This window comes from Homo sapiens, chromosome 20 (assembly GCF_000001405.40).
Source record: "Homo sapiens chromosome 20, GRCh38.p14 Primary Assembly".
NCBI lineage: Eukaryota > Metazoa > Chordata > Mammalia > Primates > Hominidae > Homo > Homo sapiens.
Genome location: NC_000020.11, coordinates 61,698,808 through 61,721,895, shown reverse-complemented (window position 1 = coordinate 61,721,895; position 23,088 = coordinate 61,698,808). Strand labels below are relative to the sequence as shown.

Here is a 23,088-nt window from a genome sequence, read left to right as displayed (position 1 = left end):
CAGCCAGGGAAGGGATGCCACACAGCGGGCCGGGTCCTGCAGGAATTTGTCAAGATTCCTGCCCATCCAATATCCACTCTGATGATTTAATTTGTGGCTGGGGAAAAAAGCTGGTAATGAAGTCAGTTTGGAGGTGATTGATACTTCACGAGGTCCTTGACCGATCCCCAAGCCTCACCAATGCCCCCTTCCAGAGAAGCATATCACCAGCCCTCAACAACACTGCCCCAAGGGGAAATGTGCATGGTGCATTATGCAAATGAAGCGTTTCTCCTGAGGTAATTATCCCTGTGCAATTCTGACATGAAGTCTTGATAAAGAATTGTTTTTTAAGATAGCAGTGAAAAAGCCCAGCTAAATGCATAAAAGTTATATGACATTTTACCCTTGGGTGTAAATTATAATTTGCAGAAAGGTCAATGAACCAGAAATGATTTTTTTTCTGATGATTTAGACACTGAGAAGCAGGAGGGCTGGAGGCAGAGGGAGAGCCCCTGGTGTCCATCCTCCAGGCCGGGGTGGGCTCCTCTTCTGGAGAGGACTGTCCAGCAGCCTGGCCAACCATGCCTGGCCTTAATTCCATCCATTTCTAGTGAGTTACAGCTTCTGCTGAATGCACATTAGAAGATGGTGAAAGAAAGCTCTGGGCTTTCCTTAGAGAGCAAAGCATGCTCTCAGTGAAGGGCAGCCTCTGGACTGGACCCTTCTGGCTGCTGAGAAGAGACATACTCATCCTGGAGGCATTCAATTCACCTCCCGCTTCAGGTCACTGAGTCCCACTGTGCGCTTAGCTCCTACTCTGTGCTAGAGCTACTGGAGGGTGCAAGAGTGGCAAGCTACCTCGGGAGGAGCTCAGGGCAGGGAGCCGGGGGGACACATGGTGTGGCCTTGGAGAGCTGAACCCTCGGAACGTCGGATCTGACCAAGCACAATGCCCAGAAACCACCAGGCACTCGCCTGTAGCCAACAAGTCAGGTTTAATGACTCACTGGACCAAGGGAAGCCACCAAGCTAATGGTTACTGTCTCATGTCAAAGGGAAATAACCACCTCTACCTGGCAGGGTGTTTGAGACAATTCAATGTGATGGTACAATGAGAGAACACGCCTCCCCGACCCCTACAATCCCCAGCTTTTAGAGGCAGCTGGGAGGTTTAGCTGAATAGGGAGGAGCCTGTGTGTATCCACGGATCAGAAAATCACGCTGGAGAGAAAAGCATGCAAGCAAATACACAGAACACAGACACAAGACGATGGCTTAGGAATGGCACTCTGCACCCCTGCATGCTGCACCCCTGCACTGTACACCCCTACTCTGTACCCCTGTACTCTGCACCCCTGCACCCCTACACTCTGCACCCCATACCCCTCCACTCTGTACCCCTCCACTCTGCATCCCTGCACCCCTACACCCCTGCATTCTCCACCCCTTCACCCCTCCACTCTGCACCCCTACATCTTGCATCCCTGCACCCCTACACACTTACACTTCGCACCCCTGCACCCCTACACTCTGCACCCCTGCACGTGTCCCCTGCATCACTCTCAAGTTGCTGCCCTGCTTCCTGGTGAGTCAAGACCAAGCTGTGGAATCCGGAGCAGGATGGGGGGCCAGGAGGTGCGGCCCATAGAGCACAGAACTAAACCTGGCTGCTGCATCCTTGAGAGATGGGGAGACTTCAGCTCCTCTCACCACCAACGTTCGCCCAAAACATGAGTCAACTTACGTGAACATGCCCTCCACCCGAAGGCAGGAGGGCCCTGCAGACACACGGGCGATGCTGCCAAACAGCAGGCGGCACTCCCCAACCCCCACCGCCGACTGCCCTCCACTACCGCCTCCTTCTCCGTTACTGAGACATGGGAGGAACTTGCAAGAAGGAAGACGCCCGCTCACCCATGAGCATGGTGCAAAGTGGTAACTGCGGTGCTTAAACTCTGGGAGGGAGCACACCGCAATGTCTTATCACCTTTTCTGCTGTTCACAAAAGCAAGGTGCTTCCCCACCAGCCGCGCCTTCATCTCAACAGTCAGGGCTGCAAGGTTTATCTTAATTTAAAAAACAATTACAAGCGAAACAGAAACTGCCAGGAATTATCCACTCTTCAGAAGGAAAGAACAAAAGGAAGTGACGAGAGACAGGGCCCCATCTTGTCGTATGATATTAACACGGCTGCTCGGAAACACCTCGAGAGAGACACCAGCTTTCCCCACGCTCTTCCTTTGGTTTCTCTTCTGGGGGGACATTGGATCGCACAGCTTTGCAGGTGAGCACAGCCTAAACATAGCTCCATGCGTTTTGCATCCATAACTCTAAAGGCTTTTGTGATTTAAAGCGGCAATTATACAGAGGAACGAGATAAAGACTCCCGAGAAATTATCTCTCTTTGGGTTGGGAGGGGAAGAAAAGCCAGCGAAGGTTAATGTAGTTAGTGAAATATTTCCACAGTTATTTCACGCAAGCATTTTGCAATATTGCTAATGTTTTTGCACATTACATGCTCTTCCAGGGGAAAAACAGCTTGTGTTTTTGAAAGCAAGGAATAAAAACCTCACAGGCCTCCGTGGCTGACTCGTACCTTGGAAGATTCTGCAATGAGGCCACACGGCACAGAAATGTTCTTTTACATCCAGACACTAAACAGTGGCTTGCATCCTTCTCTGTATTAGCAATGAACAAAAACTACCAAGACTTAAAAAAAAAAATCTCTGATTAGAACCCATGGATGCTGACAATTATGTGTGGCTTTCAGATGCAAAGCCATTTGGCTGCAGGTGACATGAAGAGGCTGGGATACGATTTTGATCATTTGCTTTCGCCAGCACTTCCTATTAGCACGAGTGTGGCCAGGGAGGGTCCTTCTCTCATCACACTTAGAGCCACTCGTGATGCTGAGTGTGCTCTTTCATCTGGTGCAGGGCAGGGGGCAGGGCGAGGAGAGAAGACCCCTGCTTCACCCACTAACCAACACCCTGGGCTGGAAGAGCTCCAACAAGCAGCAGACAGAGAGTTCCATCCCCAGCCTGACAGCAGGAACAGTGAAGTCCAAGATAGAGCCAGCTGTCGCTGGGAGCCCGGGATGGTGGGTGCAGCCTCCTCCGCAGCTGGTGAGAGTGTGTGTGTGCAGGGGTGTAGGGTGGCCTGTTAGCCTAGTGTCTCCTGCACTCAAATGCCCTGTTTCAGTTGAGTAAGCTAATTCACACAGTGTCATGCAGGCTCCTCTGGCTTCGGTTCAAGTTAATGTCCCATTGAAAGGCTTCTGTTCACCTTAGGACACCCAGTCGGGTAGCCCCTGCAGCGCTCTGCCCTGTGAGCCTGTGCAGGTGGTGCTTGGCTGTGATCGAGGTTGGCCTGTTCCAGGAAGGGAAGCACGGCCTGGGATATGGGACGGCACTGTCCTGGCACTGCCTCTAACCAGCGTCAGCCTTAGCAGGCACCTGCCTCCTTCTGTGTTGGGTGTGTCCAGAGCCAGAGAGGAGCATTCCTTTTCATCACACCTGAATTATCTCCTTCAACACCCAGAGGGACCAGGCTCCCACCCTTGGCATGATCCAGGAAGAACAGTGACTCGAGTGTGGCTTGGCAGCGCCTTACAGGAGAGGCAGGGATGCCGAGAAGGGCAGGTTTGGGCTTCCCCCGGAGGCAGAGTGGGGTCTGGAAGGCAGGGCCCCTTGGACAGCATATACCCTTCACCCTGCCCTGGGGAAGGCAGCAGGACCCAGCGGCTCAGTCTTCCGGGTGGGTCCTAACCAGCCCCACCCCCACAGTGTGGGTGCTCCCTTGCCTTCTCTGGGACCAGGTCAGCGTGGCTACAGTAAAGGGCCGCATCCCTTCACAGGGGACGCTACCCACAGAGGCCAGCATTGGTAGGGTGCTGAGGATGTGATGTGTGAGGTTGTAGGGGACATCAGGGCCTTCTGTGGCACAGGCAGGACTTGACCTCAGGCGGTGGGCTCCTCGGCCTCCCTCACAGTGCCAGAGCCCACTCTCCTGTCTCCATGTCAGTCCCTTCCACTAAACTAGCCCAACACCTGGTTCACGGCTACCTGAGCACACTGGGGGCTGGGGGCGGGGGGCAGGGCGGTGATGCACACTTATTAAAACCAAGTATCAGACATGGTGGCTCACGCCTGTCATCCCAGCACGTTGGGAGGCCGAGGCCGGCAGATCACCTTAAGGTCAGGAGTTCGAGACCAGCCTGACCAACATGGTGAAAACCTGCCTCTATGAAAAATTCAAAATTATCCAGGTGTGGTGGTGTGCGCCTGTAATCCCAGCTACTCAGGGGGCTGAGGCAGGAGAATCACTTGAACCCAGGATGCAGAGGTTGCAGTGAACCAAGATCGCACCACTGCACTCCAGCTTCGGTGACAGGGCGAGACTCCATCTCAAAAAAACAAACAAACAAACAAAAAAACAACGACAAAAAACCAAAAACCAAAAACCAAAAAAACCCCACGAAATATCTGTGGGGGGAAACTGTGCTTCCAGCTGCCCAAGTGATGGGCGCCACTGCAAAGAGTCCCCGTGCTCAGAGAGCAGCAGCGTCTGTGGCTGGTCCTGCCCAGTACTGGGCCACTCTCTGTCCTGTCCACCCTGTGTTGTCACTAGCTCCCGGTGGCATGGTGCTCATGGCCCTGTGGCTGTCCTGGGCTGCTCCCGCTCCCCTGCCTTTGTCCTGTGACAGCAGCAGCAGTGGGGACAAGTCAAGGGGGACTTGGTGCATGTTGAGTGCTTTACTCATCTCTGCCAAGCAGGAGGAGCTGCTCCTGCCACCCTGCCCTGACGCCCTGCCCTGCTCATGGCCCAGCATGCTGAGGAGCAGGGATGGGAAGAAGCTGCTGGCACTGGCAGCCAGTGGGCCATGACGAGGGTGCAGAGGGTTTCCTCTACCTGGTGAATGCCTGCCCAAGAACCACATTCCACAGCCTCAAGGTCAGTTATACATCAAGGACCTTGGATTTTATTTATTATTTATTTATTTTTTTGAGATAGAGGCTCACTCTGTTGCCCAGGCTCGAGTACAGTGGTGGGATCTCAGCTCCCTGCAACCTCTGCCTCCCAGGTTTGAGCAATTCTCCTGCTTCAGCCTCCTTAGTAGCTGGGATTACAGGCACCCACCAAACACCTAGCTAATTTTTGTATTTTTAGTAGAGATGGGGTTTCACCATGTTGGCCAGGCTGGTCTCAAACTCCTGACTTCAGATGATCCTCCTGCCTCGGCCTCCCAAAGTGCTGGGATTACAGGTGTGAACACCACACTTGATCCAACCTCAGCTATTAGATGAAGCGAAGGGCTTTGGTGAGTCTTTCTTTGCGGGACACAAGCCTGCACTATTCTGTAGACAAGCCCATGGGGATTACCTTAGTGGGTGCCTGTGGACAGGTGAAAAGCAGCACTCAGACCTCCAGTGAGGATGGGACACTTCCTCCTGCTGGGTCCTGCCCCCAAAGCCCCAGCTCAGGGCAAGAGGCAGCTCATAGGTGATGAGCGTCCACCCCTTTACAGCTCCAGCCAAGAGGAGGCTCACAGGCGAGGAGCGTCCACCCCTTTACAGGTCCAGCCAAGAGGCAGCTCATGGGTGAGGAGTGTCCACCCCTTTACAGGTCCAGCCAAGGGGAGGCTCACAGGGAAGGAGCATCTGTCCCTTTATAGCTCCAGCCAAGGGGCGGCTCACAGGTGAGGAGCATCTGCCCCTTTATAGCTCCAGCCAAGGGGCGGCTCACAGGTGAGGAGCATCTACCCCTTTACAGCTCCAGCCAAGGGGTGGCTCACAGGTGAGGAGCATCTGCCCCTTTACAGCTCCAGCCGAGCACAGTGACAGCAAAAGAAGCCACCTCCAGAGCCCCAGCTGGCACTGGGGCTGCTGCTGCCTGGAGCCACGGTGAAGTGTGGCCAGGCATGTCTGGCCGAAGAAAGCCCAGAGGGGGCTGTGGAACTTTGTCAGGCAAAGTGGCATCAGGTGGGGTCTCTGAGGGGGCCACCCAATCGCAGGGGCTCTCCAATCCTGCTGAGAGCATGTTAGAAATGCTGGCTCCTGCTATGGCCCTCAGGCCTGGCCCAGTGCATGGGACCTGGGCCGGCAAGCTGCATGTTAGATGAGCATTGCTGTGACTTCCAAGAGGCTGCTGACCTCCTTGCTCTGAGACCTGAGTCACATCCCAGGGCTTTCAGTCTCAGGGGTCCCCAGACTCCGGCAAAGCTGGGTGGTCTCAGACCAGAGGGAGCCACCTATGTCTGTCCCTAGAGGCAAATTTAAAAGGTGCTGTGGTTTGAATGTGTTTGAGTTGGAAACTTAATCCTTCTACCCACATGAATGGATTAATCAGGGCTCTGCCCTCGTGAATGGATTAATGTTGTTATCTTGGGAGTGGGCTTGTTATGGAAGGAGTGGCTTTGTTGTAAGAGTCAGCTCTCTGGTCACCATGTGATGCCTTCCCTCATGGTATGAGGAAGCAGGAGGGCCCACACCAGGTGCCAAAGCCATGGCCTTAGACTTCCCAGCCTCCAGAACTGTCACTCAAATACACTTTTCTCCATAAATTACCTTGTCTGAGAAAATATTTGCAAACTCTGCATCCAACAAAGGACTCATATGCAGAATTTACAAAGAACTCAAATCAGCAAGAAAAAAAGGAACAATCCCATCAAAAGTGAGCCAATGACATGAATAGACACTTCTCAGAAGAAGATATACAAATGACCAACACATATAGGAAAGAATGCTCAGCATCACTAATCATCAGGGAAATGCAAAGGAAAACCACAGAGATATTACCTTTCCCTAGACAGAATGGCCATTATCAAAACGTCAAAAAACAATAGATGTTGGCGTGGATGTGGTGAAAGCAAATGCTCACACATTGCTGATGGGAATGTAAATTAATACAACCTCTATGGAAAACAGCATGGAGATTTCTTAAAGAACTAAAAAGAAGATTTACCATTTGATCCAGCAGTCCCTCTACTGGGTATCTACCCAATGGAAAAGACGTCACCGCATCAAAAAGACAACTGCACTTGTATGTTTATCACAGCACAATTCACAATTGCAAAGACATGTTACCAACCCAAGTGCCCATCAGCCAATGAGTAAATAAGGAAAATGTAGCATATATATGTGTCATGAAATACTACTCAGCCATAAAAAGAATGAAACAATATCTTGTGTGGCAACTTGGATGGAACTAGAGGCCATTATTCTAAGTGAAGTAACTCAGGAATGGAAAACCAAATATTCCATGTCCTCACTTGTAAGTGGGAGCTGAGCTAGGGAGCACAAAGTCATGGAGAGTGGTATAATGGACACTGAAGACCCAGAAGAGGGGAGTGTGGGAGGGTAGCGAGAGATTAAAAACTACCTATTGGGTACAATGTCCACTACATGACAATCTCAGACTTCACCGCTGTACAATTCATCCATGTCACCAAAAACACTTGTATCCCTAAGGCTACTGGAATAAAAATATATAAGAAAAGGTAAATAAAACAAAAAATAAAATATCATGAATACCCAGTCCCAGGTGTTCTGTTAAAGAATAGACAATGGTTCTCGGCGTGGTGGCTCACGCCTGTAATCCCAGCACTTTGGGAAGCTGAGGCGGGCGGATCATGAGGTCAGGAGATGGAGACCATCCTGGCTAACACAGTGAAACCCCGTCTCTACTAAAAATACAAAAAATTAGCCAGGCGTGGTGGCGGATGCCTGTAGTTCCAGCTACTTGGGAGGCTGAGGCAGGAGAATGGCGTGAACCTGGGAGGCAGAGCTTGTAGTGAGCCAAGATCACGCCACTGCACTCCAGCCTGGGCGACAGAGTGAGACTCCATCTCAAATAAAATAAAATAAAATAAAATAAAATAAAATAAAATAAAAAAAGAATAGACAATGGACTAAGACAGGTTTCCAGTGATGTTTCCCATTCAGATAGAGGCTGATGTGCTGAGTCCCGCTGGGGTGAACACACATCTGATCAGCCCACTGCACGGGGAAAGCTGAGCATGGGGGTCCCATGCCCACACCCGCCTTGTTGATGAGAAGGTGTCACTGGTAAAGCCACAGATGGGCTTCTAGTAGTCTCAGTAACCACGTAGGGGCTGCTTTCTAACTTTCCATTTTGAGGTATCACGAAAGGCAGGTGTGGTGCTGCGGCCCATGGGGAGCCCCCTCCCTCGCTGCTCACATGGGGAAACGGAGGCTCATATGATACAGCAGGGCAGTGGGGGGCAGCCCTTGCCCCAGGGCCTCACTCAGCGCTGGCGTGGGAGCACAGACTGTCCTTTTCTGGGGGAGTCTTTGGCCCCTCACACCTGCACATCCACCGTTAACTGTGCTGCTACATAAGCAGAGGAGACGGCTCTCCGTCCTGGGGAGCTCAGCATCCCAGAGACCCTTGCAGACAAGCATGATGAATTCCAAGATTTCCCCACGAACACGTGTCCAAAGTGCCTTTAAACAAAGCTAAGAAACAAAGTTCCACGCTTAGAGTACACAGGACCCATTTCTGTGCATCTTTGAAAGGTGGGCTGCTTGCACGGGACCCCCATGGCTTAGCTCACTCCTTGCAGGAGGTCTGGGGGGGAGTGGAGACACCCCATGCACCTTGAAGCTCAGCATTGCAAAGTGCATCTCCAAAGGGTACAGGATGTGCACCTTGAACCTGGAGGACATGCAGGGGTCAGGACACAGATGCAGTCCATTTTGTGAGGATGTGCAGATACATTTCAAAAGCATCTTTACTTATTTTTGCATATTTTGCACATCTGCCCAGAGAGAGGAGGGATAAGGCTCTTCTGAAATGTCAAGATGGGAAGATGGGGCCAGAACTGGCCACATGAGTGAACGACAGTGGACACTTGACCTGCTTTCTAGAGCTGTGGCTCTTCTGCTCTGAACTGCCAAGTCACGAGTCTCAGGGCCATCCCCAGTGTCCTGGCAAAGTTTCTACTGCTTGTCTCTATTAGCACATTAACATTTCACAAACTGACTTCCTGCCTGTCAACGAGGAGTTCCCACCACCCTCGGCGAGTCAGAGCTTTCACTCTCCTGGGCTGCCCAGGGGACCGCATGGGCCCAGGGCATGGGGCCAGCTCTGAACCAGGGCCCAGCATGAGGCTGGGCATGGGGAGCCTTCCGTGATGGGGGCTGCCCCTCTGAATTCCCAGCCAGCTCGCCACGGCTCCTGCTGCCTTCTGGGCACTCATACCCTGACTTTGGTCTGTCCCTTGGAGTGGGTGCCCCTATAGGGCCAGGGATGTGCCTGTAGGATTGGTTTTTTGCACCACAGTTATTTGATCCAGGCTTTAAGCTGGAGAGAAGGGGAGGAGGAAGAAAGGAGGGGAGGAGAGGTTGGGGAGGGAAGAAGAGGAGGAGCTGGGCAGGGCTGGCACCTTCCCATGCACCTTCCGCCCTGCTTCCTAGGACTCCCATCCTGCCCTTCTCCCCTCTAGGGCAGTGGCTAAGTGTCCTCTCTGGATCAACACTGTTGGCCCTGCCAGAGCTGGTGTGACCTTCCAAACACCCTGTCCCTGACTGCCATCTCTCTCATCAGCTGGTTCTCCTCCCACCTTGGCCAGGCAGCCCACCACAGAGCCCCACTGCCTCCAGGGCTCATGGCTGACCCTTCCTTCCCATCCACCTGGAGGCCCCAAGGCCCACAGGACTCCACCACACGGATCAAGTCCAAAGTCTGGACACAGCTTACTTGGCTTGGTGGAGACGGCCCCTTGGACCACTCAGCCTCACCAGCCTCTCCTGGCTTCTCAGTTCCATCATCCACGTGGAAGACCCTCCGTCCCTGCACCACCATGTCTGGCTGACCCAGTCTCCCTCCAAGCCTCTCTCCAGCCTCCCTCTCTCCTGGCCAAGGCTGCTCAACCCCCTGGGGACCCCTCCTGCACAGAGTGGGGCAGTGTCTGTCACAGGCTCCCAGCAACTCACCTCAGTGCACAGCTATCTGTCATGCTGATGACACCCCAGGACACTTGCACTGACTGTCCCCAGATGTCTCCATGGCTGGCCCCCTCCTCCCTGCAGCTGGAATACCACTTCCTCAGAGACACCTTCCTCCACCACCCGTCCTCACCCTCCACCCTATATCTTGTATGTTTCAGCCCCGCACACGGTGCTACCCAAGCCAGTAGGTGATGGTTCACTTCCCCCAGGGCAGGCAGAATAACGGCCCTCCCCAGATGTCCAAATCCTAATCCCAGACCTGTGACTATGCCACCTTACATTGCAAAGGAGACTTGCAGGTGTGTTTAAGTCAAGGATCTTGAGACAGGAGATTATCCCAGATGATCTGGGTGGGCTCTGTGTCCTCACAGCGTCCTTATGAGGGAGGAAGGAAGGTCAGAGGGAGATGGGAGAGGCTGTGCTGCTAGCTTTGAGGGTAGAAGGCAGAGTCGGAACACAGGTGGCCTCCAGGATTGGGAAAGGCAGGATTCTGCCCTGGAGTCTCCAGAAGGAGCCAGGCCTGCCAACTACTTGGCTAGCCTGCAAGCCTTCTGTATTAGTCCATTCTCACATCGCTATATGGAAATATCTGAGACTGGGTGATTTGTAAAGGGAAGAGGTTTAATTGACTCACAGTTCAGCATGGCTGGGGAGGCCTCAGAAAACTTACAATCATGGCGGAAGGCGAAGGGGAAGCAAACACATCCTCCTTCACAAGAAGGCAGGAAGGAGAAGTGCTGGGTGAAGGGGGAAGAACCCCTTATAAAACCAGCAGGTTTCATGAGAACGCACTCAATATCATGGTTGAGAACTCATTCACTATCGCTGGAATAGTAGTGGGGGAACTGCCCCTATGATCCAATTACCTCCACCTGGTCTCTCTCTGGACACGTGGAGATTAGAGGGATTATAATTCAAGATGAGATTTTGGGTGGGGTCACAGCCAAACCATATCAGCTTCTGACCTTGAGAACTGTAAGGTCGTATGCCTATGATGTTCAGGCCACTGAGCTCATGGCGATTTGTTAGAGCAGTGACAGGAATCTGGTGCACTCTCCCCGGCAGGCGCGCTTCATGAGGGCAGGGACCCCCTTTCAGGACTGCATGGTCTCTCGGCACTTCGAGCAGGGCTGAGCATGTAGGGCCTCAGAAAGTGTTTGTTGAGTGAATAAGTGAGCATCTGGTCTCTTTAGCCTGGAACAGCATCAGCTCACCTTGTCTCTGCAGCACTGAGAATGTCAGGATGAACGTGGCTCTGCCTGCACCCTGCTCCACATGGGCCCTTGCCCCTTCCTCACCAGGGCCCTCCAGCTCTTCTGGAGGCCATCACCTTTGCAGCCCCAGGGCCCCAGAGGCAGGGGCTGTGGAGTTCCCTGGATGAAATCCCTTTTCATCAACGCACATTGCTTTAATTATCAATGGTGATGCAGCTGGTGGACTGAAGTGGGAACGTGCATCTGAAGCTCCCCAGGAGGGGGGCTCTGCCGCAGGAGCGAGGACTCAGGGCCTGCACACAGATAGAGGCTGGGAGGCTTGGCAGCTTGGGAGTTCCTGTACCGCCTTCATCCATAGACACTCAAGCACTCAATGCCTTCACATTGGGGCCCAGAGAACCAATCGGCAGCCACTTAGCCAGGACACCAGGCTCAGAGAGGTGAGCTGACTTCTTTGAGGACACACAGGCAGCTGCCAGCAGAGGGACTTCTGGCCACCAGTTTTTCTGGAAAGTTCTCTGACTTGGTTATCATTAGTCTGGGCTGGGAAAAAACACCGAGTTGAGGCTAGTGGGGGTGATAGTGCCTAGGGCTATGCAGACCCGCCCGGCAGGGCTTTGAGGTTCTCGGTTCATTCTGGATCCATTTATTGAGGATTCTGCATTCCCCAGGCCCACCCTGGCCGCCCACGGACAGGGGAAGAACATCCCACTCAGTTACTGTTTCAAAGTTTTAAACTCGCTGTTGGTGGCAAACTTTTCCCTACAACACACAGATGGTCTTGCCCGATCCCGCTAATGAAAAAAACTCTCACACGGCTACAAAAACAGACGTGATCATCTGTTTTCCAACATTCTGAAAAACATCTACAGAGGTGTAAGGTGCTACACAAATGAGAATAATTAGCTTGTGCCATCTGTGGGAAAACAAGAAGAAAGAACCTCTACCTCCCGCTCCATCCTGCTATTTTGGGCTTCGTGAGGACCAGGGGACGTGGCAAGTGTGTAGAGTGGAGCATCACCAATATTGCTTCCATTTATGGGTGCCATTTGCCCTCCTTTACTCTGGAAACCATGCTACCTTCTCTGCCATGCACCTCTGCTCACTCTGTGATTAGCCAGCGATAAAAAAAAAAAAATTGTCATTCAAAAATTGCCAGGCACAGTGGCTCATGCCTGTAATCCCAGCATTTTGGGAGGCTAAGGCAGTCGGATGACTTGAGGCCAGGGGTTCGAGACCAGCCTGGCCAACATGGTGAAACCCCGTCCCTCCTAAAAATAGAAAAAAATAGCCGGGCATGGTGGCACCCGCCTGTAATCCCAACTACTTGGGTGGCTGAGGCAGGAGAATTGCTTGAACCCAGGAGGCGGAGGTTGCAGTGAGCCAAGATCACCCCACTGCACTACAGCCTGGGCAACAGAGCAAGACGCTCTCAGAAAATAAATAAATAAATAAGTCTGACTTTTGCTGACAGCTGTCTTGATTAAATTTGTGGACAGCAAAACCCCTGACAGTGGCCCAGCCTGGCCCCAGTTTCCTGCATTTGCTTGCACTCCCCTGGAGAGAGGGGCAGGTGCGTTGTGGGCTCATCATTTGGGCGGCCGCTACGCCACTGGGACCCGAGGCTTTGGGGTGATGTGAACTCAGCCAGTGTCCTCCACACTCCCATCATGAGCCAGGCCTGAGCTGGGCCGCAGCCCCACTGCCCGTGTAGCCTGAGGTCCTTCGGGGAAGGCAGGGCTGAGCAGGTCTGCTGCCCGTCCGTCTGGCTGAAGGAACAGCCTTTTGTTTTCTAATGTCCAATCTCTGTCACAAGCTGATACTTTGTAAAATACGATAGAACTAAATTACCAGGAAAAGATTGCACGCGGGGTGTTCTGCACGTCTGCCAATGCCCACTATTGATTTCTGTGCTCATCTCTAACAAACAGCCTGCAGAGGAGATGCCCGTCCATGATGCACACTCAGAGAAGGGGCCTCCGCAGAGGCAGCGCCGCCTCATGTGAGGCTGGGGAGGATGGGGCCTCCCCGGAGAAGGCAGCATTTCTCTGAGCCCCAAGGATGGGAAGGGGTGGGGTGCAAACGTCTGGGAGGGGCTCCAGGCACAGGAGGGTGGAGAGGGTCTACAAGGGGCATGAGGCTGGAGGGAGCAGGGCTGGGGAAGTGGGGGGCAAAGAGCCTGCAGCCACCGGCTACGAGTCAGGGCTGTGTGGCCGGGTGTCAAACTGGGAGCCCGGGGCCTGGATTGGGTTTCTCCATAGCCCCCTGACTGTGGCAGGAGGTGGATGCTGCAGTCGCCCTGGCTGGGAAGCCTGTGTCTGTGACCCAGACTGAGGCAGCCAACGTGGAGAGTGGAGGGTGGTGCCCCAACCCAGTTAGGAGGCAGAGGGGACCAAGCTGCTGGGGGTAGGCGGGGGGCGGGGAGTCTGAGTCAGCGGGGTGCTTGGTACATCTGGTTCGGGGTAAAAGTCAACCCCCTGCTGGCCACGCTACACTCAGCCCTGTGTGTGTGTGCAGGTCCAGGCACTTGCGGGCAGCACCAGCCCTTCTTCCTAGGTTTTCCTCCCGGGCTGTTGCCTGAAACCACTGCTGTGCTGGGTGATGGCTATGCCCAGGGAGACGCGCCACAGCCCGGGACCCCCAGCAGAGCCCAGGTCCTGGGTCCAGGGCACAGCCAGCTGGGCTGCCTCCTCTCCTCAGCACTGGTGGATGCAAACTCCACTGTCTCTCCCTCCAAAGCCTGGTGGCCGCCTTCCTAAGCCAGATTTCACACCATGACCCTCCCTGTCATCCGCAGGCATAACGTGGAAACAAACACACCAGACACATTCCCGAGCTGAGATCAGGACACAGGAAGAGCCTCCTGGCAGGTCCTCCGCCTCCTGTCAGATTAGCAAGGACACCAGAGTCTCACGATCATGAACCCTGTTGTGAACTGCACGTGCACGGGATCTAGGCTGCGCGTTCCTCATGAGACTCTAACACCTGATGATCCGAGGTGGGACAGTTTTATCTCAAAACCGTCCCCCCTACTCATGGTCCATGGAAAAATTGTCTTCATTATCTTCCACAAACGTGGTCCCTGGTGCCAAAAAGTTTGGGGACCACGGTTGTGAAGGATTTGTTTTTATTGATCTTTGCATCCTTTCCCCTTTTTTATGGGGTAACATTTTCACTATGCACCAGGGCAGGATGCTGTGAGCTCTAGGCAGGTAAGGATTACACGGCACTCACACGTGTCCACATCCCGCGTTCACCCAGCACCCCAGGGTGCCAGGGAGGACATAGCCAGTGGGGCTGCCTGGTGGGCTGAAGGCCTTGGTTTAAGATGTCCTTTCCCTGTATAACAGGCCCAGGTTTCCTTTACTGTCCAAGCCGCGCAAAGCACACACTGCAGGCAGCAACTGACGAAGGCAGAGTTGGGCCTTTCCTTGTCCCATAAATGTGGACAGAGGGCCTCCATGCATAGGACCATGCCAGGCTCCTGGGCACCAGGTGGGAAGACAAAGCGGGTGCTGTCCTCAGGGAGCTCAGGACCACTGGCTCAGCAGCAGGGCTGGCATCCCCGCCATGCGCTCATGGGGACCCCGGCACTCTGTCCAGACATGGATGACAGCTCATGCCTGTGTAAGGGACTGGCCTCAGCTTCCTGTTTTATCCCAGGGAAGATGGAGAGAGAGTACCGCCACGGAAGCTTCCAGAACAGTGTTGCCTTTGAGATTGCTTGCAGGCAGACCCACCTGAAAGCCCAGCTGAAGGCAATCAGAATCCAGGAGCTTCTAAAGACCAGGGCCCCCACCACGTGCCACAGACGCCTCTCTTCAGCCCTCTGCGGGGATTGCATCTCAGCTGGTCTGGGCATCACAGAGGGTCATGCGGCTAATGTGGAGGTCGGATGCTGACGGTCACATGACTCATTCCGGTTGGAACCTCACCATGAACGTCCTGCCCGAGCCAGTTCCGGTGAGATTCCCAACCACTGTTCCCACTGGCCTGCAGCGGGCTCGGGAGAATTCAGCCAAGGTGGTTTCTACACATCGGGGATCAGGGAGTCGGTGCCACTGTGTGCAGCTCGGGAGAAACCGATCCCTTTGGTCTTGGTTCGCCTCTCTTCCAGCAGATCCCACAGGCCCTGTCCTCAGCTCAGCAAACTCCAACTTCCATTTGGGCTGGCCTTTCCATCCGTTCTTCCTCCCCGGAGTCTTCGTCGTAGCTAAACTTTCTCCGTTCCTGAACAGCTGCCTTTGGCTACAGCCTTTTCTCTCATCATGTTTGTTAAGACCGTGCCCCACATGTTATTGTTGAGAGAAGGGGGTCTGCGGCAAATGAGGCCGGCTGCAGTTTTCTGTCAGTTGTCGGTGCCTCGGGTGGTGGTTGGAGTCCTGGGTGGGGTATCCGGTCTCTCATCCCCCCCGGCCCTCTGAAGCCCCCTTTAGTAAACACACAGCCCCAAAGCCTGCTGTGCCCAAGTCGCTTAGGGGAAAGCTGCCCAGACCCTCTGAGACAGGGTCCTGGGCCTCACGGGAAAGCTGGGAGCAACGCAGCTGGAAAAGTTTTACAGAGAACAGTTGCCGAGCAGGCGCCGGGCAGGCGTCGGGCCGGCTGTTCCTCAGCCAGCCTCACCCAGTTTCATGGGCTAAAGCCACTGGGCACAATGGGGTGGGACGGCTTGCTCTCTGTCTGGAAGGGAAGAACAGGGCTTTCAGATCCCAAGTCCAGTCCAAGCCAGCACCCGTGGGGGAGAAATCCACAGGCGCCTTTAAGAGAAGGAAGCGGCGTGGAATTTACAAGGGGCTCCGAGCTCAGCACATCACATCTGGGAAATCTTGACACAACTGGGGTATTTGATTTGTCTGCTAGTGATGTAATTTTTCACTGTTGACACAAATGTGTGCAGAAGAGCCCGGCCAGCCCCTTGCAAATGGAGCCTGTCGGCGATTCTGCAGGCATCCACCACATTTAAAACATCACTGGGCTCACACTCAAAGCTGTCGTGAGAGGAAGCCAGCTGCCAGCTTCCAGGGATATGCAGCTTGGGTGAGGGGGCCTCCAGGCCAAGCTGCAATGAGTCCCCCTTTTCTACACGCTCCCACCCAGAACTACAAGGGCCAGAGGAAGTCCCATGAGGGTGGCTCTCCTGACAGAGCGTCCTTGGAAGTGGCAGGAACGGACCAGCTGCTGCTTGCATGAATGGCCATGGGCCGAGGACTCTGAGATTGAAAGACACTGTGAAGATGGCCACTGGGGCACCTACGGCTCTCCCACACTGAGGGGTTAGACCCAGTGAGCAATATTTGAGCACATAAACCAAACGCAGAAGCCAGAGATGAAGGGCTGAACGTGCTCCCTCTGCGGTGTGGAACCCCCGGGGTCTGGTCCCCCAGATCGGCTGTTGTACACCATCTCCCCCGCCAGGTGGAAGGGGCCTGGCCGGGACAGGCAGCAGGGTGACATTCTGTTCATTTCATGGGATTCGTAAAACAGCCCCACCTGGGGTCTTGAGTTAGCTCAGGTGCGGATGCCTCCACCAAGGTGAGAACAAATATTCCCTGAAGTTTGTGAGTGAGTGGGGTTTGCAGGAAGTCTGCTAGGTCTAGGCACAAGGCCCCTGTGTCCTAAAGAGGGACATGCCAACGAGACAAAGCGGATGGGAAGCAGCAGCTGGCTGGGTGCAGAAGGACTGTGTGCTCAGGGGACCTTTGAGCCCCAACGCGTTCCTGGGTCCAGCTGGCCATTAGCTCACACCCGGGTCCTTTGGTTGGACTATTAGAGAATTCACAAAATGACAGCCCATACTCTATATCCCTGGTTCTGGAATCTGGGTGCATTTGGCCCTAGGAGACACTTGGCAGTATCTGGAGACATTCCTGTAGTCACAGCTGGGGGTGGTGCTACTGGCATCTCCTGAGTGGATGCCAGAGATGCTGCTAAATGCCTGTGGTGCCCAGAGCGGCGCCACCCCATTTAATGCCCATGATGATGACCATGCCAAGACTCAGACATCCCGGCTGACACCGTAGAGATTAGATATTGGCAAATTCCATATTTTAAAAAAGCCCAGATGTTTGGCTTATCTTGAAAACTCAAAAGCTCTGTGGACACCAGGGGTGAGAGTGACTCTACCCACTGAGACGACACCCCAACTCCTACTGCACGCTGTGGCCACCGGATCCCACCACCCCTGCCAAGCAACCTGGCTCTGGGGGCTTCAGGGCCAGCCGCTCTCCTCTCTCAGAAGGCGGCGCCAGCCAGGCCTCCAGAAAACTTGACTTGGGCTGAAAGGTGGCACAGCACCCAGAGCAGGTTCCAGCTTTAACGAGAGCGCCCCACAAGGCTGCCTGACCTGGGGCCTCCTTCCTCCCGAGTGACCTGGATCAGCACCTGCATTGGTTCTCCACTGCAAAAGCCCATTCTGAGAATGTCAGAGTGGGGAGGCAGTGCTGCCACTACTTCTGCTTGGGAAGGAGCTGGGTTTCCTGTGAGCTGATGCCTTCCTCGCAGCACCTTGAGACAACACAGAGAGAACCAGGGATCCTGTCCCGTCTGCACTTCTCAAACACTGCAACTTCAGGTGCTGGAGATGCCGAGGACTGTCCTGACCCCCATGGAAATGCGTTTCAGCCACTGGTGCCCGACCCCAAGACGGGGAATTCTGCTGCTTCTTCCAGGCTCAGCCAAGAGCGCTCGAGGCCTGGCTCGAGCCAGGGACCCACAGGGCACAGCCACCTGCCCGGCCACTCCCAGCGGCTGTGACTCTGCCACCCTCATCCCAACCACACCCCTGCCTCTGCTCCAGCTCAACCTTTTCATTTTATTGGAAAAATTTAATTGGGAGTTCTGAAAGGTCACAATTAATATTTCCAAATGAAAATACAAGGTAAAGCAGCTCTGAGTAAATATTGTTTAAATCCCATGTGCTTAAAATTAAAATGAAAAGGACACAGTCAGGGGAGGGAGGCTGAATAGTGCACAGGGTCTGATGCAGACACAGAAAGCCTCAACCCTGCCCCGAGTGGAGCCACCTCATCACCAGGGCCCAGATGAGACATGGACAGCTCTTGTATGGCCAATGAGATGGCTGCACACATCAGATCCCCGCTCTCTTTGCAGATTCATCCAGGCACGGGGAAGAGGTGCGACGGGGAAGGGACACAAGCTGGGGACGAGGAGCTTTGATCCCCACACCTGACCTCACTCCTTCCTTCCCCACTAATTTGTTGGTGGGGACAAATGATGTCTTTTCAATATTAGGTTAAATACTCTGCAAATGCAAGGCCGCCCATATCCCAGCCACACTGTCCCCTCCTTATGAAATGCCCCTGCTGCCAGTGTCTCCATTCACGCTCGAGTATCAACTGTGTCCATCCTGCCAGGCCTATTTTCTCCATGACACTCGTGGTGTGTACTGCCCGTCTCCTTAAACTAGGATGAATGCCTCATGATGCTCAGGTCTCTGTGCTCAGAGCAGCCTCTGCCACAAAGCAGGAAATCCACTGCACATAGAAGTCAGGAAAAGACAAACAACCCAAGGCCTGTGTGTTCTGAGCTCGTCCAAGAGCCCCCACTTCTGATCACAGCTTGGTCTCTGCCGCATTTCTAACATCCCGTGGCCCCCTGCCCCACCAGAGTGTAAATTCAGCCAAGAGGGATGACATCCTTTATGTTCATTGCTCTACCCGAAAACATGGCACTGACCACGGCACGCAGAGTGAGATGAAGAAAGGCTTGTTGAGGAAGTCTTCACACCCTCAGGGCCGCACGCACACAGCCTCTGCCAGCTGAGCACACGCCTGGCAAGACCTCCCACACGTAAAAAGCGGGTTGTCACACACCAGGCCTGATTTGCTTTGCAGGAAGGTGACAGATGTAGATCAAGAACTCTAAATTTCAATCAAATGGAACAGCAGATTAATTGCAAAATCCTTCAAAGTACTTTGGAAAAAAATAACACGATAAACTAGACAGAAATGCCCTGTGCTTTTTCTACAGGTGACATTGCCTGTAATTGGATTTACTAAGCACTTTTGAATCTGCAGCTCAAGTACAAACAAAGTTTTTGTGATTTTAAGATGCATACACAGATAAATTAAAAAGTGTGTAATTACAAGCAACCGCTTTACCTTGCTTCAACTTTGACGGCTCTGGCTCAAGGTCGCACTCAGCTTTCATACGCTTCAGAAGAATGAATTGCATCACCAGAATGCCTGCAAGGACCGTAACAACACACAGTGCGAAGCGTCTGCACCTAGGCTAGTGACTTGGGCTGCGTTTGGGAGGGTGGCCCTTGTCGTCTTTTTACAGAGCAATGTTTTGTGTGGAGCGTTCCTGGAGGACAGAGGGACCCATTACGTGGCTCCTGCCTCGTCTAACTCTGCACACACCTTTGTTCGGTCCCATCCTGGGCCCCCGATTCCACAAGGATCGAGAAATGGGCAATTACAAGCCAGTCTTATTTTGCCGTCTTTGTGTGGTTCTCAGCAAAACCCAGTTTGTCAGAAATGGTCCTATGAGGCGGCCAGCTGGGCTTTATGGAGAAAGTGGCAGAGGACCGTGTTTTATTGCTTCTCGGCCAACTCTCAGCATGAGAACCACTCAACAGAGCTGAAGGGACCGGGAAATGGCAGTGAAGAAGACGCTTTCTTCCCATTGTCCAATTTCTGTCTTGCAGACTTGACTGCACTTCGGTGAAGAGGGGCTTTATCAAGACCTCCGTGAGGTCTAGGCTCTTCCTCCCGGCTGCCAGCTAATCAGCTGACGAAGGAGGAGGACGAGGCTTCACGCAGCTGAGTGAACTTCTCTTCGGCCTGAGTCACACCCATGCTTCTGTGATAAGGTCAAACTTGTCCCACTCGAAAGCAGTCTTTTTTGGACTGAAGAAAACTCCATTCTGGGCTCACCTGGATATCCCAAATCTGGAAATGTTTTGCCAATGGACGCTTTGTCCGAATCATTAAGAACAAGGTCAACCCTGAGAAGGGGAGATCCCCGCGTGAGCCGAACCGAGGTTCCAGGAACTGCAGCTCCTAAGCTACCAGCGCTGGAGGCCTGCCTGGTGAGTCCGTTCCTTCTTGCTCTTGCTTTGGTTTGCAATCCACCCCCAACTGATCCGTAGACCCGCTGTGCTGGCTGGAAGGCACCCCATGGCACACGCCACTCCCATGAGGACCCGAAGCCCACAGGGCTGGTCCCCACCCAGTGAGGATGGGCATGTCCTGATCGCTTGGAGGCCATGGCACTGCCAGCTGCACCCAAACCTCCAAACCCACCTATGTGGACAAGCCCAGATGTCCACCAGCCCTGGATGCATGGAACTCACTCACCCGTGGGGAATCTCACAGCCACGACCCTGACATCCATTCACTCGCTTGTTATGGGTTCAATTCTGTCCCCTGCAATTCATACATTGAAATTCCACCCCAGCATCTCATAATGTGACTTTGTTTGGAAATGGGGTCATGGCACATGAAATTAGTTGCGATGAGGTCATATTGGAGTAAGGTGGGTCCCAATCCTGTATGTCTGCTGTTCTTAGAAAACTGGAGACTTGGGCACAGACACACTCCCAGAGGGAAGGCGATGTGAAGAGATGCGGGAAGAAGATGGCACCTGCAAGCCGAGGAGAGAGGCCTGGAACAGAGTCTTCCCTCCGAGCTCTCTGACGGCTTTCGTCAAACCACCCCTGCCGATGCCTCGGCTTTAAGCTTCCATCCTCCAGAGCAGCGAGAGCATACACCTCTGCTGTTTACACCGCCCCTCTGTGGCGCTCTGTTATGGCGGCCCTGGAACACGAATACACCTTTGAAAGTGTTCTGCAAAAAAGGGGGGAGCCGCCGTTCCCTTGAAGATGTCGGTCCGCTGTCAAGATCAGGCACTCCAGCTTTGAAGGCAAGACTCATGTGGCACTCACCCGCTGAGCCGGCAACCCCGGCTCTGCCCCAGGCCTGGGCCATGAAGACAGACATGAAGAAGACATGAAGAAGACACCCATGAAGACAGACATGGCCCCACAGTGAGGCCGTATAGGGTGATGTGTGGCCCCACAGGGAGGCCGTATGGGGTGACGTGTGGCCCCACAGTGAGGCTGTATGGGGTGATGTGTGGCCCCACAGTGAGGCCGTACGGGGTGACATTCTTTCACTGACCAGGCATGCACGGAGGCTGATGACACAGCGGGTCCCTTGCTGGGGTGACAACCCTGAGACCTCTCTGGGTTCCTGCCCTCTGGGCTGACGTGCTACCAAGGAACTTCTGTCATGCGCTGGAGTAAAGAAAGACCAAGTTTCTGATCCACACGTTTTTCAAGGAAGGCCTGACCCCAAGAGTCTAATATAAGCCCAAGGACAGACCAAGAATATATCCCAGATGCAGGAGACGTGACCAGCCACGCAGGCATATTTCCTACCCGGCCAGTCAGAACGGCTGACAGTGAAAAAACTGTCTTCCCTGTCGATGCTGAGCGCTCCCCTGACGTGCAGATCTAGGGAATGTATGTCTGTGGGCAGAACTGGGCCTCCCTCACTGTGAATCAGTCTTTGAAGGCAAGAGCAGGCAGAGCTCACGGCTGGAGTGAAGGGGACAGGACATGGCGCATTCCACCCTCTGGGACCTTTGAGGCACCAGGAGAAGGGAAGCCACCACATCCTCTGACCAGAGGCCCCCTTCCTTGTCCCCGGGGGTGGGGTGTTCCGAGTGCACGCCTGCACGGATACCTGCAGCTCCGGCGCTGTGAGCCTCGTTCCTCAGCAGCCACCTGCTCACATTTTGACACTTCCTGGGCTTGACATGGGGCCCCCCAACAGTGGAAACCCCTGGCCTCACTGTTTGGTTTGTACTCACTCAGCCATTGCCAGCCCATGCAGCTGAGCCCTTGGAAGTGAAGATGTTCTTACAGGCTGGTCACGACATGTGTGTGCCCCGGGTCAGCGGTGAAAGCCCCGGGTCAGCGGTGAAAGCCCCGGGTCCGCGGTGAAAGCCCCCAGCAGCAGGCCTGCTCCCGCTCAGACTCTTTCTTCCCCTCTAATTTGTCTTCAGCTCTGTTTTCCTTTTGACGCTAACGACACAGTGACCTCCACGAAACAACTACACAGGCTCGAGAAAGGTTGAGTGGGGTGATGTCATCCAGCCTGGGGACATGACTTGGCAGGAAGCTGTGTGAGAAGCAATCTGTTGAAAATAACACTTTCTCGAGTGGACAACAACTCGGAGAGCCAGAAAGTGCTGCTGCCACATATCCTAATTAGCCACTTGGGGTTGCTTACCCACGGTGAACAGTGCTCCTGGGCAGAGCTGTGGAGAGGGGCAGCTGGCTGTGCCCGCTGACCTGGCAACCGTGGCCCTGTCACTAGCCCAGGGAGCCCCAGTGCCCGCCCTGCACTGGGGGGGCTTGTGATGACTGGGGGCGTTCGAGGTGTGAGCACCACAGACCCTGCCTCTCTGCCCCCTCATCAGCCAGGCCGCATGCTGGCCAGCATCCCCCCAAATGCATTTACAGCCACCGTGACCTTTACCGAAGGACAGGATGACCAGCTAATTAAATGCAGGGATACGGAGAAGGTCAGAGCGCCTGTGCGCCACCACACACTTCATAGTAAGGTTCTAACAAATCATGTCCATGGCCGAGGCTGTAATGAGAACAGAAAAGTCATCTTTCTCCAGATAAAGACACTGTAAACACGTTCCACATGACCAGCCACTGTGGGGACCTGCCAGCGGCCATTCTTGTGTAGCATAAAGTGGGTGAATCTGTAACGGGATGCAACCACCAAAGGTGGGGATATCCTTGCATATGCGAAGTGAGTAGCTTATCAAGCTGCCCTCAGTCAGTTACTGGTTTAACACACTCCGAACTCTCAGCCCCATGCCCCAAGGCAGCCCGACATCAGGCGGACACAAAAGGCTAAGCACATCCAAGCTCGGGTTCC

General features: G+C 53.9%; 1 protein-coding gene and 1 long non-coding RNA gene across 6 annotated transcripts in view, besides 2 other annotated features; one reads left to right on the top strand and one right to left on the bottom strand.

Annotated features, from left to right (window-relative positions):
- Window positions 1-23,088, bottom strand: part of CDH4 (cadherin 4) — a 688,357-nt gene that overhangs the window by 218,722 nt on the left and 446,547 nt on the right. The gene's annotated exons all lie outside the window — the stretch shown is intronic.
- On the top strand, window positions 2,148-4,390 carry CDH4-AS2 (CDH4 antisense RNA 2). The gene is made up of 2 exons (NR_147702.1): window positions 2,148-2,266; window positions 2,510-4,390. It is a non-coding gene; the product is annotated as a CDH4 antisense RNA 2 (long non-coding RNA).
- Window positions 12,503-12,671: a silencer, noted in NCBI's record as "fragment chr20:60284281-60284449 (GRCh37/hg19 assembly coordinates)". NCBI's record gives its function as "represses an EF-1alpha promoter that drives an FKBP-Casp9 reporter gene in an ReSE screen in K562 erythroleukemia cells {active_cell/tissue: K562}" and the evidence as "EXISTENCE:reporter gene assay evidence [ECO:0000049][PMID:32094911]".
- Window positions 21,773-22,273: an enhancer, noted in NCBI's record as "H3K4me1 hESC enhancer chr20:60274679-60275179 (GRCh37/hg19 assembly coordinates)". NCBI's record gives its function as "activates a minimal SCP1, AML or CMV promoter by ChIP-STARR-seq in primed H9 embryonic stem cells {active_cell/tissue: H9 hESC(primed)}" and the evidence as "EXISTENCE:reporter gene assay evidence [ECO:0000049][PMID:30033119]".